Raw genomic sequence first — 20513 nt, 5'->3', positions numbered from 1 at the left:
TTTTTATAGAACTCCTATTATAGTTAAAAGCTGGATCAATCCTATTTTGCTGTTCTGTTTTGTAGGTAATTTCATCAATTTTATATTCCAAATATGTATTACCTTTATATTTTATTACATTCTTATATTTTTACATTATTTCATTTTTATATTTAATGTAAATATATATAAGTATATATATATTACTTTGTAAAATGAATGTACATTTTACATTAATTTCCAAGAGCCCTTAACCTCTAAATGTTTTTTTTTTTAATTTATTGGCCTGTTATTCTGTAAATGAAATGGTTTCTCTTCTATCTCTAATAGCAGATACAGCTTTTAAATTTGTCTTCTACTCCCTGCATTGTTCATATTCCCTCAATTACCTTTTTATAATTCATGATTTTGTTTTTTGTTCTTATGTGTTGGTCATTTTCCTCAAATGCTGATGATCCCTAGCTGTGTGTTCATATTTAAAAGCACGGCACAAAAGCCTCATTGGCAACTCTGTATGCAAGCTTGGAGCTTGTAGAATGGTGAATGTAATGGGATGACTGGGAGCCCCCCAAAAGATTTGTTCACATCCTAAGTCCTGGAACATGTGAATGTTACTTTATTTGGAAAAATAATCTTTGCAGATTATTAAGTTAAGGATGTTCAAATAAGAGATCATCCTGGCTTATCAGAATGACCCTAAATCCAATGACAAGTGGCCTTATAAAACTGCACAGACATTGAAAAAGAGGCAATATGATCACAGAGGCAGAGATTACAGTGACGTGGCTATAAGCCAAGGAATGCCTGGGGCTGCCAGAAGCTGGAAGAGGAAGAAAATCAATTCTCCTTTAGAGCCCTTGGAGGGAGCACAGCTGTATTAGTCCATTTTCGTGCTGCTAATAAAGACATACGCAAGACTGAGGCATTTACAAAAGAAAGACGTTTCATGGACTCACAGTTCCACGTGGCTGGGGAGGCCTCACAATCATGGCAGAAGGTGAAAGGCACATCTCACTTGGCAGCAGACAAGAGAAGAGAGCTTGTACAGGGAAACTCCCTTTTACAAAATCATCAGGTCTCGTGACAATCATGAGAACAGCACAGGAAAGACCCACCTCCATGATTCAATTACCTCCCACCAGGTCCCTCCCACAACACCTGGGAATTGTGGGAGCTACAATTCAAGATGAGATTTGGGTGGGGACACAGCCAAACTATATCAATGGCCCTACCAGATTTTGGGCCTGTACCCTTCAGAACTATAAGAAAATGAAGTTTCTCTCACAGTTTTAAGCCGCGGAGCTATGGTAATTAGTTGAAAGCAGCCATAGGTAATTAATACAGTGAGTCTCACCAAAGGTGATGAGGTAGGAACCTGTTTCTCTGGTCTCTCCCAAATATCAGTATAAATTTGTCCCTTCTCTTCAGACAGTTCCCCAAAAGAGGAATCCTCTCAACTCCTACCAGACTGCTATGTTTTTAAGAGTCAAGCAGAAGTGGGCTGGACTACGCACATTCAGTTTGTAGACTTTCATTTAGCCCTCCTGTTTTCAGTACAACATATCAACACTACCCTCAGGTGTATCTGATGGTACAATTCCAAGCTTCTCTGATTCCACATCTACAGAGATTAAGTCTCCTAACTTTTGCTAGGATGGGAGTTGGGTGAAGCAGATATCTGTCAGCATTGCCTGGAGGTTATAGTGGGGTGGGGCAGGGATTCTAATGTTCCTTACAAGGACTTTGCATCAGTCCTTTTGTTTTTAGCACCACGCCTACCCCAGCTCTCAGACCTACCTGGTGTCTCCAATTCCTGAGCCTTTCTAGGGCTCCGAAGAACAATCAGTTTGCTTTTTTACTGGCATTCCCTAAACAATTAAACTTCAGCTTTCCTATCACTGTCTGTTGCCAATTTTTTCTATGTTCAAAAATGTTGTTGACATCTTTCATCTCTTGTCATTCCTCTTGTTCTCTTTGTCCTAGTGCCCTTCTTAAAATTTATTTTCTGTGTTAGTGGAGTTTCAAGAAATGACCAACTTAGTTCAATCTGCCATGTTTAAACAGAAGTGCCACCTTATAAATTTTCATTTGAAGAACGTATGCCACTCTGACAAAAAATTAAGTTCAGTTTTGCTTAGAAAAATATAAGAATCTCTAAAATATATCCCCGTCTCAGCTCTCCTAAGATGTTACATTATAATTTCTTCACACTCCATGACAAGTCCCATTTTTTCATCTTTGCTTATGGTGTGATGTTCCCCTTCCTGAAATGTTCACTCCCATATAGTCTATGTAATCCTACTACATATTTCATAATCCAAGCAAAATCTCAATCCTTGATGAAACTATCCCTGATGACTTCAGATTACATAGATTTGTCCTTTCCCCAAAACAAATGATTATACCTTGTATAAGTCAGTAAAAGAACTCCTATTCTCTGTTTCATGTGTATCATCTTCTTGGCAAAACATGTTTCCTAAGGAGAGGAACCACACCTTATACTTTGTGTGCTCCTGGCGATGCTTACCATGGTATTGGACCCCAAATAGTTGCAGATTTGTATAAACTAATTCAAGCCACAAATATGAGACTTGATCCCCAAAACACTACAGAGTAAGAAACTTTTGAGGCACAGCCTGTGTCTAGTTCAATTTTATTTCCCTAACAACCAGCACCGTGTTTGACATAGGTCTCTGACTGCTGAGTTACTGAATGAAAGCATGGATGAATAAATGAACTCTCACTACATACTGTGTTCAGTGTTGTGCCTGACATCAAGACTTTTTAATTCCTGAGAATAATCAAGATTATTAGAATGATGGTTCACTACTGCATTCCCAGCATCTAGAAAGCATTTGGCACAGAGGAACTGCTAGGTAAGTGTCTTCTAAATGAAGGTTAAATGAATGAATCTGCCATGAGTCAGGAGGCATTAGTTTACAGTTAGCAGTCAGCAAATGAGTTAAGAAGAGAGAAACATCTGGCTCACCCGGAAAGCACTCCCAGGACTAGGTTGAGAACAAAGAAGGATCCAATGATGATGAGGGGGATGAAGTACAGCCAATTCCAGGTGGCTCCTAAGGCATCATTGGTCTGAAAGAAAGAAAAATGGTTCCTTAATACTTAAAGCCATCTTCCATAAGTAAAGCTTACATTCTTGCAGCTGCACAGAGGGTGATGTAAAAACCACAATGCAATACAGTTAAATATTGCCTTACTCCATTCCCAATTTGGTATTACCGTGAGTTAGCTCAAAATCTCCCATGTACGTAATGAAGAACACAGCATCAGCCTCACCATAATATACTGAGTTGGAATATTCTCACACTCTTGCTTAGCACATGAGAAGACAATACAGAAAGGTCAGATACTTTTCCAAGGTCACGCAAACAACCACTGGTTTTATAGCATTTGGTAATGTGGGTTCTAAGCCTCTGCACACAAAATTGGGCAAATTCTCAAAAAGACAAAGGCAGGCTGTGCCCAATCTATTCCATGGATGCTAGCAAAGGCCTTGACAGGGTTATTTGGAAGACATTTTAGGGTCCTCTGCGTCTTGCTCAGCCCTTGACCCACGCTCAGCTTGCTTTCTTCCATCATAGTACAATAGCACAGAGCTGGCCCAGGCTTGGCCCCAGCAAGGCTCTGGCCAGAACAAGGAATAAATCTAGATTTGAAGAGTGATCACTTGCACTCTAATGTTAACACTCAGTGAATTAAAAAATGCCTGCAAATCCATATTCCGGATTCTCGAATCATGAATCAGATGCAAGACCCTTGAATGGTCAGGGATTGAGGAAGAATTATATCTCATGACTTAAACAAAGAAGCAATTCTTAGCAGGATATCTTATTAGAACCTTGAAATAGAGCTTGGGAGTCTCTCTAAAAGCTGTACCACTCAACTAAGGGTTCTCAGTCTTCCCTTTGACTCTTCCTCCCCTGACAGCACCTCGAAGTCTTTCCAAATAGTCTTTCTGAATTGCATTTCACATATGCAGGGCTTTGAAATCCCTTCGACCCCCACTCCACTCTCTCACACACAAACTCTAAGACCCATTTGAAACTTACAACAGATATTTTATCTCTACTTCACTGGAAAAACAAGGCCAAAGTCAAATGCCATGCCTAAAACTCACAAGCTAAATTAGTAAAATTAAGACCAGAACTCAGAATTTCTATAGCAAAGTATTTCTTGTCCCTCCAATTTACCTTTTCCCCCTCTCACTACTAAATTCTGAAAACATATTTTGATTCATTGTCCCCATGCTTCCTGTGGACTTCTGTGACATTCTCTTGTTTTCTTCCAAATTATCTCATTTCTGTCTCCCATTCAAATATTCCAGTCCACAGAATATAGCCTCTTATCAGTCATGGAAGCTATCACTGTATAGTTGATTCATCCATTAACAACAGCTTAACTTTTATATTAAGTTCAAGGGTACATGTGCAGGTTTGTTATATAGGTAAATTCATGTCAGAGGGGTTTGTTGTACAGATTATTTCATCACCCAGGTATTAAGCCTAGTACCCAATAGCTGCTTTTTTCTTGGTCCTCTTCCTTCCCCCACCCTTCACCCTCCAAAAGACTCCAGTGTGTTGTTCCTCTCTATATGTCCATGTGTTCTCATCATTTATCCCCCACCTATAAGTGAGAACATGCAGTATTTGGTCGTCTGTTCCTGTGTTGGTTTGCTGAGGATAATGGCCTCCAGCTCCATCCATGTTCCTGCAAAGAACATGTTCTCATTTTTTTTAAGGCTACATAGTATTCCATGGTGTATATGTATTGCATATTCTTTAACCATTCTGTCATTGATGGGCATTTAGGTTGATTCCATGTCTTTGCTATCATGAATAGTGCTGCAATGAGCATATGCATGCATGTGTTTTTATAACCGAATGATTTATATTCCTTTGGGTTGTAAGCAAACCCAGTAATGGGATTGCTGGGTTGAATGCTAGTTCTGTTTTGGGGTATTTGAGGAATCACCCCACTAAAACAGCTTCTAAGGCAATCTCCTTTCACCACACTTGTGTCTTTTTTTTTTTGCCCCTACACTATTCAGAGAGAGATAATTGCAATTGAAGCAGAATAAAAGTTAAAAGTAAACAAGAAAACACTTTCTGAATGGGAAGGGACAGATGCAGGGACCTGCCAATTTCAGTGTGTAAGATGGAGCTCTTTGGTTCAATCAGGTCTGGTCAGTTAAATACAATCAGGGAAGATGTGGGCCAGACCTCAGAGAAAACTGTTCCTGAATATTAGTAGAAAGATCCAAAGGAACTAGATGCCAAGAGTTGTTGAGGGTTTTAAGGGAGGTAGGAAGCCGTTTTCTCTGAGATCGTTAAGACATGGACCTTCCCTATGAGCTGAAAAGTGAATTGCAATGATATTTGTATAGCTAGCTCTGTGTTTATTTGTGATTACAAATCAGTCCTTCTGTAAGGCTGGCTAGCTCTGATGGTTCACCAGTAAAGCTCCAGATTAACAGGGTTTATTCACTCTATGGCTTAGCCAGTGGCCAAACCCCCCAGCACCCCAACATTCCTTGGCAACAAAAACTGAGTCTACACCCAGCACCCAGATAGGACTTTGTTGCCAACAAACATTAGCAGGTATCAGCAATAGCAATGATGAAATTGTGACTTTTAAGATAATTTTGTTCTTAAATAATTGAGCTACAGTTTGAGGGTGGCTCAGAGCAATTTCACTTGGGTGACTACTTGCCAGGGATGCTGTAATGAGGATGTCCAAAATTACATTGTTCTCATTGCTAGAGATCTGTAAGAAGTTAGTGTATTTTGTGGAAAAGGGGCTTCTGTAACCAAAGAAATTTGGGAAACAGCAGATTATATTTTCTTCTGAGCCCGTGAGAAGATCCACAAAAAAAGAACATTATTTACCTTGTTTATTCCACCATTTCATAAACACTTTTGATCATAGTGAAACCCTCATTTTCAGAGAAAATCTAGTAACACATCGAAGAACATAGCCTTTGAAATGTAGGAACTACAGTGGGTCAGAATCTGGAATGTGTTTCTCAATTCTATAAAAAACCAATGACGAGCAGTGTCTTTTGATTCAGCATTTTGTGAGTATGTTTTGGTGTTGCTTCAACCTATATTCAGGCAGAAACCTTAACTGTCTGCTCATTTCTGTATCTGGCACCTAACAAAGGGTTTGGCATGCATAGATGGTCGACTAATCAAAAAACGTCCACAATTCTAATATGAAGATTCTCCTGTTAAAAATACACTGATACAATTCATTCTCATAGCCCCCTCTCAATCTGTGGAGATTTCTCTGAATTGCCGCAAACATTATCCACCACAGTGGGGCCTGCTGGATGAAAAAAGAGGAGGATGGGAACTAGAAGGAGAAAAGCATAGCTGGGAAGACACCAGCACCAGCAAGGCCCTGGGGGTTCTTGAAGATGACTGACAGCTTAAAAGGTTCTTCTGGAGAAAGCAGCTTGACAGCTCCTGTAGGTTATTCACACACCTTTTAATAGGCTTGCCCCACCCTTCTCCACACCTTGCTCCTCTCCCTCCTGTTTCATTCTTCCTGGCCAACTGGCTTCCACTCCCCTTGCATGTTTGTCCACGGGTCAGTGACACACCCGGTAGGACAAAGGGACACACCTCGGCAGGAAGCAGGCTAGCAAAGGAATGCATGCTTCCCTTTTTCAAAATGGCATGGTTCTTTCTGATGCCAGTTGGGGCTTCAATCTCCTTCTGATTCATCATTATTAAAACAAAATTGTCCAGTGTAGGAGAGACAATGACTCAAGCGTCCTTTGAGATTAAAAAAGCAGCAGCAACCGACAACTCAAGGCAGCAAGTACCCAGAAAGCACGTGAAGTGGAAGTCGGGGTGAAGCTGCCAGTTCAACCACAGAGTTGTGACTGTTTTCTCTCTCGTGGTGTGCACGTGTCTGTCTCAGCAGGAGGTGCAAGAGAGGAGGGTTGCCTGTGAGAGGGAGAATCACTCATTCTCTCTCTACAGCATCCCCCCCAACTTCTGTGACAGAGTGGCAGTTCTCGCAAGCTCCTTTCATGTAAGACTTGCACTCTATTTTCCCCAGAGACTCTTCCTTCAGGAACACGGGACAGCCATGCTAAGTACTCCAATCAAGATTCTGGCCCCAGGAGAACCTTCACAGCCGAGACCTCTACTGTGGAGCAGCTAAGGGAAACCAGGGCCCTCCCTGCAAAGAATGCTGCCCAGAAGACGCCAGCCCCTCCATCCCACACCACTCATGCAACACCTACTATCAGTCAGGCATCATAGGAGAGTGCTTCTCTTTGGTCAGTGTCCTCTTACATGGAGCACTGATGCTCCTCCCATCTCCCAACACCCTCCCCACCCAGCCCTTCCCTAGACTGGCACACTGGCTGCTCTCCATCTTCCTCACCTGCCGATCCCCTGAGTGACACACACATGCACACGTGTGCACGACGAGGGTGATGACAGAGAAAGCAGTTCGGGGGCGGCAGCCCACCTGCACAGGAGTGCTCAGCGGGTACCAGTCCTGACATTGTGGGAATGTGTTCCTTTGGGAACCTGACTGATGGGGGTGGTGAGCTCACCCACTCCCTGCGTAAACAGGCACACATGGTAATTATCACATTAATCTCCAGGGGACTGGGGGAGATGCTGCAAGGTGGGGTGGGAGGAGGATTGGAGAGAAAGATGGGGATAGAGCAAGCAGGAGGAAAGGGGCCCCATGGGTCCCCTGAGCTGAAGCTATGCAGGCAGGGCCCAGCCCCCAGCCCCAGAGACAGGTCTCTAACAGGGTTCCCCAGGGCTCCATGGAAAACATTCTCCCTGTCTGTGCACCCTCTTCACAGAGCAGCTGTAACCTGGGAGGCTGAATTGCCTATGACTGAGTGGGGAGGCTGAGTGTGTTGGGGCTGGGAGTAAGGCAGATGCTGATTCCATGGTCCTTTCAGAAGCAAAGGGTCTCTGGGGAACACCTGCTCCAGAGGCTGTCAGCAGCACCTGCTGGTTAGATCAGGGCTGGCCTAGGCAGGGCTTCCTCCACTGCAGCACTGCCAGCACCTGTGGAGAGACAGTTCTGTTTGGTGGGGGCTCTCCTGTGTGTGCCTTAGCAGCATTCCTGGCCTCTACCCATTAGAGGCCACTAGTACTTCTCCAGATGCAACAATCAAAAATTGCCAAATGTTCTGGGGGACAAGATTACTTTTGATTAAGAACTGCTGGACTCAAGGCTCCATCTCGAGGAGAGATCTTCGGCTCAGGCCAGGAGAGGGTTGGAGCAGCCAACATAGGCTAGCAAAAAAGCCAGGCCATTCATCTCTGCAGAAGCATCTGTCCAAAGCCTCTGCTGACCACTCCTAGGGAAAGGAAAATTCACAGAGCAGTGAGTGGGGAAGGAAAGAGGCCAGGGACTGATTCAACTACTTCACACCTTCCCTCACAGACACATACCTGGCCTCCTGCACCTCACAGGCCAGCACACCCTCCCCTAGGCTCCCATTTCCTCCAGCACCAAGTATGACAGCTCCTGTCCCACCCCGAGGGACTTGGATTCCATGTCTTGGAGCTGAAATGCCATATTTTTTATTCAACACATTCATGGGCCACCTACTATGTGACAGATAATTTTCTGTGTGTTAAGGATGATGAGCAAGACAGTCTCAGTCCCAGCTCTTTGAAACTTGTGATCTAATGGGGGAAACACCCATGAAGCAAGTGAGCACACAAATGTAACTTTAACTCTGGAGTGTGGTCAGTGCTATGAAGGGAGCACAGGGAACTGGGGCAGGTGGGCCTGCATGGGTCCGGGAAGTCAGAAAAGGATGTGCTGAAGTTTTCAGGGAAAACAATAACACGGGAGTCTAAGAAACTACCTTCGCTGAGACAGCAGAAGCCAGAAAGGCAGTGAAAAGATTAATTATGGAGGTAGAAGAAAGATGGAGAAAAAGATTAAGATGAAGACATGCCAAGAAGTGGGGGACCTATAAGAAGAAAAAAGAGGGTGGGGAACGCCCTCTCAGAATGAACTGCTACTACCTTGCAGTAGCAGCGCCCTGGAGCTCTGTGTGGATGTTATGCTGAAATGCAAGTCATAAAGGTACCCCGGATTTTGTCAAAATATATATCACTGGACAACCAGCCTCTAGATAACCTTAAGGTCTTCCTCACGTCCCTTCCTAGGCACACTATCCCCCACCCCAAATGTAACATCATCCCAACTTTTAGAACAATCACTTAGATTGACCTAATTGGAAATCCCATCTGAACACTTTCCTGCATGTGCTGAGCCATCCACAGGAATCAGCCACCCAGGACAGCCCTCTCCCACCCTACTCCTGCCTTCCTCCCTGCGCGGCTGTCACCAGTAAGGACGTGGCAGGCTCTGTGGCATTCTGGCCCATGTCTCATCCCCCAGCTGCTATGTAACTGTTGGCTGCTAATAACTCACACCTGCCTTGCTCCTGTACGCTTTTCAGATGCTTGCCCTTGCCTGACAGACCAGCTTCACCTGGAATGTTATTCCTGCCCCTGCTGGTGATGATGGGGGGCTGTAACAGATAACTACCTAATGTAGGAGTTATCAATGGCCCGGCCCTTTTGCCACTGGGTAAGACAATTGCTGTGGTGGAATTCACACTTTGGGCTGCCCATGGAACCAGGCTGAGGCTTTGCCTAGTTTTTCCCTTGACCTATCCTGCTTCCCTCACATACCTTTAGGTAACTCCTAAGAGCAGTCCCTCATTAAAACACTGCCACAAGAAGCTCAGTTTCACAATCAGTTTCTAGGGAATTTGATTTAAGGCATTCTATCAGGGTTTTGACCCACCATACAAAGCTGGCAACACCCCTCCCCTGAGTCACACCAGTTGGATGGTGTTTCTACCTCAAAGCCAAGGTATGATTCCTCTGACCACACCCACATTTTAGGAAAAGGATACAATGTACAGCATACCCCACACATCACTGGGCAATTAAATGCCTATAACGGGTTTCCTGCAGACTAGGAAATCCAGTCATACTCTTGGAAGAGGATGATGAGAACAAGTCATCCAACTCATCATTCCATAGGAGAGGAAACTGAGCCCCAAGGAAGCAAAGCGACTTCCCTGAGGATCCAAGCAACTTATCGGCAGATCTGGGGCCACAATCTAGAACCAAAATGGGTCAACTTCTTGCAAACCCTTGACTCTTCATGTCTGCTTTAGTTCCAGAACTCTTAAAAGCAATCCTACCCATACTATTACTACCTTCTAGGGCAGAACAAAAGACAGATAGGACAGTCACCACTAGGATCTTACAGCCAGAAAAATGAAAGCTGTCTTCTCAGCCCCCAGGCAAGAGGCAAAGGTTGGGGAGCAGGGGAAAGAATGAGGACCTAGAGCTCCAAGTGAAACATAGGCACCTGCTGCCACCCAGCCAGGAGGCTGAGCCTGTCAGGCCCAGGAGCAGGGCGTTTCACTGTAACTTGGAGCCCTGAGTATATTTAATAAACATACTAAGTCTCCCCACACAAACAATCTCTGGAGGCAGCATCTGGCTTAGCCAGGGGCCGTTATGAGTAAGCAAGGCTTCCCACACATTCTGGTCATTCAGAATCCTCTGGACTTGATGCAGCCACCATCTCCCCGCTGCCAAGAATGTCAGTGATTGTCACTGAGGATGAAGCAGTGCCTCAGTCCAGAACCACATTTCACCACCTATTCTTCCCCTTCTTTTGCCAGTGGGAAAATGCAGCAGAGTGTTTGGCAAAGAGGAGGAGCACAGAAAGAAACACTCCTCCACCCAACCTACAAGCAGCCACACGATGCTACCGAGACCAGGGTCAGGAGCTCTGGCCGGTCAGCTGCAAGGGCTGGCATGGCCCACCCCAGATGTGGGCAGTCCTCACCACTGGCACTGGGCAGGCAGGTACCCGTGTGTCAGTGAAAACCCATCCACGCTCTTGGGAGGACAATTCAAGAGCAAAGAGCGGTGCCACATAGGACTACGAAGGCTGCCGTGGCAGGGTCTGCAAAAGTGGGCACCTCCAATATGGGCAGGGCTCAGGGTCCTGCTGTGCTTAAAATCCCTCTGCTTAAATCCTAGTAATTCCAACATTGATGTCATGTGATATTTATCCTGTCCCTCCCCTCTCCCTTTCTGAACTCTGACACAGAAGCCCAACAGGGAGATGCCGGATCCTCTAAAGACTTTAAGGTCTTCTTGTAACTGCTGGGGCTGATGTGGGTTACATAGGGTTTAATATTTTATTCTCTCTACTTTTGTGCATGACTGAAAATCTCTATAATAAAAGTTTTAGGGTCTTTCTCCAAAATAAAATTAGTTTATTTAAATAGTTCTGGGTCATGGGTGAATTTTAAAAGAAAACCTTTTTTAGTCAAAACAGTGAAAAATGTTATTAATAATAGTGATGATAACCTGTGGGGGGAGTGAGGGGGTAGAAATGAGTTATTCTTAAAAATTATTTTTATATTTTTGCAACTATCATGCAATAACAAAGTGTTGTTTTAGGGTTTGAAAAAAATGATTATTAGAAAAACATTAAAAAGAAGGCCCTCTGCAACTGCAGCCCAGGGTGCTGGGGAGGCAGATGCTCTGGGGGGCCAGGATGGAGGCAGCTGACCCTGTGCTGGGCCATCCAGGCTGGGATCCCGCTTTGCTTTGGGAAAAGGCCAGTGTGTTGATCTGACACCACTCCCACTGTATGCAGATCAGCCAAAGCAGGTGAATTTAAGAGAGGATTAAAGAGAACGTGCCCAGTGGTGATGAGCTAAAGTGCATCACCCCTTTGCCCCTTCTACAGGGCTTGCTGATGAGAGATTTGTATTCTTTAAAGAGTGGCAAGCACCAGAAAGGGCTCTGAAAACAAGAGGGGAGGTGAGTATCAGAAACGCAAAAGAGTACAGGAGGCTTCATATATCCTCTATTGTGAACGTTTTGTGCAGTGCCCATCCTATTCCAGAAAGAACATGCTGGATAATACCAAGGTAACCGCTCTTCAACCAGTCCCTCTCTGATTCTCCACTTTGTCCTATGGTTGTCAGGAATCAGTCCTTCTGGTCGCCATCATTTATTGCTTTTCCTGATGTTCCCCTCTCCCCTCTTACTAACAAATCACTATTTCCCACTCAGTCTAATATGAGTACTCTAACCTTTATCATCTTGCAGATTCTAGAGCTGGAAGGAATCACAGCATCTTGCACAAACCCCTCATTTTACAGAAGAACCAAGGTTCAAAAGCCAAGTGACTGCCAAAAGGTACTCCACTTATTGGGTACGGAAGTAGAACCAGAATGCAGGACTTCTGACCTCCAATCAACTCTGCACAGTTCTTCTGTTCTGTCTACTCTGTTTAGCACCTAATTATATACAGCCCTGCTCCCTCTTATTATTTTGTATATAATTAGTGTTGCCCCAGGCCAGGCGCGGTGGCTCACGCCTGTAATCCCAGCACTTTGGGAAGCAGAGGCAAGCGGATCACAAGGTCAGGAGTTCAAGACCAGCCTGGCCAAGATGGTGAAACCCCGTCTCTACTAAAAATACAAAAATTAGCTGGGTGTGGTGACGCATGCCTGTAGTCCCAGCTACTCAGGAGGCTGAGGCAGAAGAATCGCTTGAACCCAGGAGACGGAGGTTGCAGTAAGCCGAGATCACACCACTACACTCCAGCCTGGGTGACAGAGCGAGACTCTGTCTCAAAAAAAAAAAAAAAAAAAAAAAAAAAACAAAAAATTAGTGTTGCCTCATGATCTCATTTGAAAGCTACCCGAGGTTGAAGACCATGATTGTCTCTCGTTTCCTCTGAAGGTTAAGACCACTGAAATCAGACCTGCAAACACTGCCATTTAATGAAGATAGGAGCAAGGATAGAGATGTCATGTAAGGCTTCCTGAGACTCTACTTTCACCCAGACATGAAGTGGAAGGTGGATTCAGATGGCCAATCAACAGAGGAAGACATTCCAAGGAGAGAGAAAGAGGTGGGAATGCTAAGGCCACAGTGGGCTGCCTTTGGTGGCAGCAAGCAAGGCAAGGTAAGACCTGAAGGATCAGATCATGGAGGACCCTGAATGGTGGCATAAATTGTTTGGATTTGCTCAGTCCCCGTGAACTCTTCCTTCTTTCTTCTCCCTCCTGTCCCCTTACTCCACCAATTACAAGTCCTCTCATACTTGAAAACACTGCTAAGCCGCTATAAGGTTTCCCCTAAACATGTCATTCTACTTCACTCCAGAATTCCCCCAGCAATTAGGCACACCTCACAGTAGCATACATATTCATTCAACACTTTTGAGTGTGTACTCTGCACAAGATGAATGAGAAAGGAAAACAGTTCTCAAGGGCTTTGGTATCCATAAGAAGGCTAAGTCGTGAGTACAAATACCTATAATAGAAAACAGAACATTAAGTGCTGCACTCAGGCATTTATTTGCACTTATTTATGGACCTTCTTTATATGTGTTCTGTCTCTTTTACATATTGGTCCTCCATTCCCATTAGGGCTGAATGTTTCTTAAAGACAGAACTGCATCTTTATTTCTGTGTTCACTCTACAAATGCCTAGAATATTACTCCACAAACAGGAGATTCTCGATAATGTTGTTTACTAATAGGAGATTAGAAACCTGCTGGCATTCTTCTGCTTCACAAGCCTATATAAGTTTCCTTCTCTGGAAATAAATATATCACCTGTAAAATGTCATCTCTGTTGACATACAGCAAGTACACTTAGCTCACTCAAATATTCAGCACAGCCTACAAGGGCAGACGCTCAAGAAAAAAGCTTCAGATAATCATTTTTCTTGGCTTCCATTCTTCCCTCCTCAATGAATTCTGAGCAGAAGGCGAATTAATTTATCATTGAACATCTCTGTTTTAATTAATGATTGTGTATCAAACACTATGTAAGTCTGGTTAGCCCCACTGGTTTCCTGAAGAAGCCCCAGGACAGTTAGTTTCGTTTATTCTGTGGCCACAGGAAACACTCCTATTCCTTAACAAAAACAGGTTGAAAGCAAGGAACCATGGCTTGTAAGTCTTTGTATCTCCAGAACCCAAGACAGCATCAATGGAAGACATGCTCAATAAGTCTACATCAGCGTTGATGCAGTGATAATGAAACGTCAGTCCTACATGCCTATTAATCACCTGAAGGCCTGAAGGTACATGGGTGAGTCACTCCAAGATGGCCCTATGAGGTCAGTTTCTCATAGCACACTGAGCTACAGATGTGCACAAAATATCTTCCCATCACCTCTTTGACAGACCTTGGGGACAGTCAGTCCCCAGGCTGGTCAGCTCCATTTGTAAGTAGCCTCATCCACTTCCCGTAGTGCCATATAATTGTTATTTATAGAAATCACTGTGTCAGGCAACCATCTGTGAGGGACACTGATGCCGAATTCCTCCCTTGAGTAGGTGCCTGTATCAGACGACAGATGTGGGGTTCCTTCCCACTCAGACTCCATATTTCTCATTTTGCTTCTCCTCTCTCTCATGGACTCTAACTCTCAGGTTCCAATTCTGCCATTCCCAACCCCCTTCTCTTTACTCATCTCTTGATTTGTGATGATTTGTACTCTCTTATTCACTCTCCTGCTGCCCTCCTAGAAATTCATCTTGGTTTTCCTCTTTGCCCAAAGATACACAAAGCTCATTCCAAATGAGCATCCCCATTAGTTTGGGGCACAACAAGATTAAAACAAAACAGAGATAATAAAGTAATCATGTTCATTGTTTCTCCAATCTGGGAAACATCGGAAAGAATCCCTTTTTACTTTGACCACTTTGCATAGCTCTCTCTGCCGTTCATTAGGGTGGAATGTAGGAAGAGCAGTGAAGATGGGAGAGCAACACAAGAATGCACGTAAGCTGTCGGAAGGCAGAGCTGACCTAAACCCATGCAGACCTCTTTCTGGAAGTACTAAGAAGACATAATTAAAACATCTTTATCTGAACATTTTCCTGTCACTTAGACCCTAAGGCTCCATGTATCGAAGGGGAGAAAAATAATAATGGTTTCCACTTGTTAAGCATCTACTCGGCTGGGCGTGGTGGCTCACACCTGTAATCCCAGCACTTTGGTAGGCCAAGGTGGGTGGATCACAAGGTCAGGAGATCGAGACCATCCTGGCTAACACGGTGAAACCCCATCTCTACTGAAAATACGAAAAAATTAGCCGGGCATGGTGGCAGGCACCTGTAGTCCCAGCTACTTGGGAGGCTGACGCAGGAGAATGGCGTGAACCTGGTCAGCGGAGCTTGCAGTGAGCCAAGATCATGCCAATGCACTCCAGCCTGGGAGACATAGCGAGACTCCATCTCAAAAAAAAAAAAAGGCATCTACTCTACTCTAAGCTGGACATTGGACCAGGTGCATAGCATACATTAATCTTCACAACCACATGCAAGAGAGGTGCTATTGCAATTGTACATGTAACAAACTGTATTGGTTTGTTTTCACACTGCTATAAAGAACTGCCCAAGGCTAGGCAATTTATAAGGAAAGAGGTTTAACTGACTCACAGTTCAGCATGGCTGGGGAAGCCTCAGGAAACTTACAATCATGGTAGAAGGGGAAGCAAGGCACCTTCTTCACAAGGAGGGAGGATGGAGAATGAATGCAGGAGGAACTACCAAACACTTATAAAACCACCAGATCTTGTGAGAATTCACTCACTATCATGAGAACAGCATGGGGGAAACTGCCCCCATGAGTCAATCACCTCTACGTGGTCTCTCCCTTGACACATGGAGATTGTGAGGATTATAGGGATTACAACTCAAGATGAGATTTTGGGCGGGGACACAGCCAAACCATATCACAAACCAACAAGCAACAATAACAACACAACCCAGGCTCAGAAGGCACAGGGGATGTGCCCAAGCTCCCACAATAAGCATGTGAAGCTGGGTGAAGATTCGGAATCCACACCCAGCTTGGGCCTCTCCTCAAGAAGCTATATTGTATTGCCTGGGTTAGAGGGCAAGGGGGTTAGAGATAAAAATAGCAATGTTTTAACTTACAATATATTTGAGAAGGGAGTGATGGATGCTGGTATTTACAACAATGCCAGCAGAGAAAATAGTTTCTAATTTCATATTGTAATACTATTCCAATGTTGTGTTGCTTCAATTCCTTTGATATCTATACCCTAACTTGGCAATTCCTTCCCTGCTCTGGATGTCAGATAAGGTTGGAAGACTGTCACAGCAAATTCCCTGGCTAGTTGTACAACAGCCATTCTGTTGCCAGGGAGATCTTGTAAAGTGGGGCAAGTGATTCCCAGGCACAGCTGGTTTCATTCTTCAGAGCAGGGAAGAGTTGTCATTTCTAACCAACACATCTTGCCCTGTCTCTCCCCTGCTTAATACCTTGAAATGGGAATTTGCCCATGCCAATCCCCTACCATGACTGACCCAACCTACCCTCTCTAGCTCATCTGTCTCTCACAGCATCTGCCTACCTGTATACCAAGTCACACAGCCACATCCAGCTTCTTGCAATTCTATGCCACATTCTTTCCTATGTCTACACTATTGCTCATGTTGTCCCCACTGCCTATAATGCCTTTCCTACCTTTTCCACCTGAAAAGCCTCCACTCAATCCCTGACTGAATGTTACCTTCACTAAAAAACCTTCCCAGAGTCAGTCACTCCCTTATGCCCTACACTGAATTCCACCATACCACTTAACTGCAACATAATCATTGTGGGCTGGTATGTTGTTCACTTCTACAATATTTGACACCCTCAAGAACAAGAAGCAGGTTTGCTTTGTCTGTTTCTGGCCCAGAACCCAACTTAGCTCTCAGTAGGTGCTCAGCAAGTGTTTGTTGAATGAACAAACAAATAAGTGAATAAGCGGAATGTATGGCTCCGATTAAATCTGAGACAAGCAGAAAGGATGAAAGACAGAAAGACACAAAGACACACAGAAAGGAAGGAAGGAAGGCAGGAAGGAAAGGAGGAAGGGAGGGAGGGAGGGAGGGAGGGAAGGAGGGAAGGAGGGAGGGAGGGAGGAAGGGATTAGAAAGATTTCCCCAAGAGTGAGTTAAGTGCCTAGGGTTTTGTGTTTTTTTTCCCACCACTAAAATAGCAAAACTAGTAGATGATTAGAGGGGCTTTATCAGGGATGATCACTTAATAACCCCTTCCCAGGTATATCTTGCCACAAAGAACTTCTAATCCTCTCTGTAAGAAGAAAGTTTCTATCACTCTTATCTCTGATGAGCTCAGGAAAGGATTAAAACAAAACTGGTAGATTCTGCTTTCTCATATAGCTACAGTCTCAGCTGTGAAGCTGGGTCTAAGAGACAGAAAAGAGAGACCTGACTCAACATGAATGTGGACTGTGGTCCCTGTAGAGCCCCAGACAAAGATTGGGAAACTCTCTCCCTGATTTCCAAATAACAAGAGGAAATCACTTCTCTCAGGGATGGGGGTGCATATTGAAGAGGGGAGAGGGCAGCCTCTTTGGAGAAGGTTCAGAAAACACAGCCTCTTTGCTGATGGGCATTGCTAGGAAACGCTCTGATAATGCTGACAGCACCAGCCCCGTGGCATTTGGGCCTGAAAGTGACCCTGGTTCTCTAGATGGAAAGACTGGTCAAGGCTAAGCTTGAAACTCTCACACCCCAGCCTGAGGGTTCTGCCTTCCTCAGCTGTGTCAACCAGAGACTGTAAAGCCTCAGTCCTGACAATCCCCCTCCCTCCTCCAAAACAAGTTTCATGGTCCAAATCCTGGCCATCCATCAGGGCCTTTCTTATATTCCATTGGGGTGCACTGATTCTCCGACAGCCAAGTAGGGCTGCTTCCTCTGACTGGTGCTCCAAGGAGTTTTCAGGCCTGTTTTGGAATTCTCTAATCCCCACATTGAGGTCCAGCCCCCATCCATTCTCTTGACAAAATCCTGGAGATTTATTTAGTCTGGAAGATATCAATTTCTCTAGGCCAATTCTGTGATATTCAGCCTCAGGTCAAAATATGTTGGTAATAAGAGTCAACGTGTTTTGGAGTAATTACTATATATGTTTTGACTACATTATCACATTTCATCTTCTCAGTAATCTGCTGAAGCAGAAACTAGTACTATAACCTTTTCCTCTGATGAGGAAACTGAGGCACAGAGTGGTTAAGTAACTTGCCTGAGGTTGCACAGATAATGACAAGTCAGGACTATATCCCTAGCAGTCTGACCGCAGCACTCTTAACCAATATGCCTTGTATGTGGTACAGTATCTGAAACATAGTAAATGCTCCACAAACATTAGATGTTAATATTATTATTTAAATAGGTTAAGCTCAGTTCCCTTCAGGCAATTCTTGGCAAAGAAAGAAAAATAAATGAATAGGTCATTATTATTTATATTCCTATCATCTAAATATTTTACTTGCCATGAGCAAGGAGTTGGTTGTATACTTTTAAATCTCTTATTATTTGCAGGTTATTACAATACTTATCACCCCATATAATAATTACTTATTTACTGTGTCTTTTGTACAGATCTGTGAACTCTTAGAGGGCAAGGTTTTATGTTTCTCTAGGTAGCTAGTACCTAGTACAGTGTTTCACACTGAATAGATGCTCAATAAACATCTGTTCTATGAATGGATGAATGAGCTAATCAAATACTTTAGAATCAAAATGCAGAGGAATATTCCAGCCACAACCAAATCAAACTGGGTAAACATAGTCTAGCGCAGTTGTTCTCAGAGTGTGGCCCCTGGACCTGCAGTGTCAGCATCATTTGGGACCTTGTCAGAAATGCACTTTCTTGGGTCCTGGTGCAGAGTCCAGATCAGAACTCTAGAGGAAGCTCAGCAATCTGTGTTTTAATAAGCCCTTTAGGTGATGCTTGCTAAAGTATAATATAAATAAGAAGTCTACCATGAGTAGCTTTAGCTGCTACATTGATGTATCATAACTAGGAGTAAAAAAAGAGAGAGAGAGAGAACTGGGGAAGGAGAAAGCTTGAGGTTGAGTGGGGAGGAGGAAAGATGACAGAAGGCTGTGGGGAGAGATGGAGAGGGAGGAGAAGAGGAGTGGGTGACAAGGAGATTGATTCACCTTGCAATTGCCTCTGAATCAAATGGGTTCATGATCTCAACTGGTTGCTGCCATAGCAACAGGTACAGCCCCTCCCACAACCCCTTCTCTAGGATGACCGGGCATCAGACACACCTACACTGAGTCCTGAAGCCTGCAGAAGGATGTAAGTTTCAGGAGTTGGAAAAACAGAGGGGAAAGCTTAAGGGAGGATCTTCCCACTTGGGCTCTGGCCCCAGTAGGGCTCCTGGAAAGGCTGCTTCATAGCATAAAGGTAGAAGAAAGCTGTTCTGTCTCAACAAGCGGTGAAGACATATCTGGCTGAAAGCCAGTGTAGAGGTGCTGGGGTGTGTCCTCTGAACGCCAGGTCATACCATAACCAAGTCTGGCTAGGATGGCATGGCTTCCCTGTGGGACTTCTTGCAGGAAAAGAATGATCGGCTTATGAGGAAAAGGAGAGAGAGCCCATCGTAGAGGCAGGGTTAGAAGCAGAGGAAGGCACAGCGAAGTGGGGGTTCAGAGAGCAGGGATGGGTTACTCCAGAAGCCAGGTGAGGGGACATACCTGGAGTAGGAGAACAGAAGCAGAACTCACACAAAAATTCAAGGTTGGAGGCTCTGATAGGCTCCTGCCTCTGTGGATAATGAGGGGCAGAAGGCTCACAACACTGTCACTGGCCTTTGCTGGAGTTTCTAGGGCACCCACAAGGCTAGCATACACATAATTGGCCTCCCGAATAAAGCCAAGATGGGGACTGCAAGAGGAGGACATCAAGATAAGCAAACTGCACAATGCTCTACATGTTCGATGGAAATAACTTAGTAAAAGCAAGTTTACAGCCAATTAGACATTAAAAGTAAGATATAATTGCTGTTGCTATGTTTGTTTCCAAGAAGAAATGTGTTATGATTAGACTAACAGGCTAGTGTTAGAATTCTGAGCAAACTGCATGGAAGACAGTCTCGCTTTCTCTCTTGCCTCTTGAGAGAGGGAAGCAAATGACAAAACGCTGAATCAATAAACTATGGCTATGTTCAGAGTATCTGCCCTTAGATAATCTTTGTGCAGCCTTGAACCCTTTTGCCAGGGAGGGGAGAATGTGCTGAGAGATTTCTCATACCTGATTTCTTTTAATCCTCATAATGACCCAATGAAGTCATCATTATCACCCCCATTTTAAAGAAGAGCAAAGTGAGCTTAGAGGTGTGAACTGACACGTAAGTCATAAAATGAGAGCTAGAATTCAAACCCACATCTGCCTAACTTCAAAGACCACGCTCACTGACCCACAACAAAGGGCATGATCGGTCCACATTAATGGAAAGGGGTGCAAACTGGTGGGCCATCAATTACCCAAGGTCTGTGATGCCTTCTCCAGCCAAAACTGGGTATCTACCTGGACAGGTTATCTCTGTGAGACATCATAGGCTAATAGGAAAACCCTGGCCTTACCTCTTTCTTCTTTGTTCTGTGACATCGGGTA

At 44.3% G+C, this 20513-nt stretch overlaps 1 protein-coding gene across 14 annotated transcripts in view; it reads right to left on the bottom strand.

Moving 5' to 3' along the window:
- CACNA1E (calcium voltage-gated channel subunit alpha1 E) overlaps positions 1–20513 on the bottom strand; it is a 490386-nt gene that overhangs the window by 153675 nt on the left and 316198 nt on the right. For all 14 annotated transcript variants that reach the window (XM_017002244.2, XM_017002243.2, XM_017002249.2 and 11 more), the window contains one exon: positions 2969–3072. In XM_017002244.2, coding sequence (XP_016857733.1) covers positions 2969–3072 — 104 coding nt within the window. The remainder of the gene's footprint in view (positions 1–2968; positions 3073–20513) is intronic.

Source organism: Homo sapiens, chromosome 1 (genome assembly GCF_000001405.40).
Source record: "Homo sapiens chromosome 1, GRCh38.p14 Primary Assembly".
NCBI lineage: Eukaryota > Metazoa > Chordata > Mammalia > Primates > Hominidae > Homo > Homo sapiens.
This window is presented reverse-complemented; position numbering and strand designations above follow the sequence as displayed.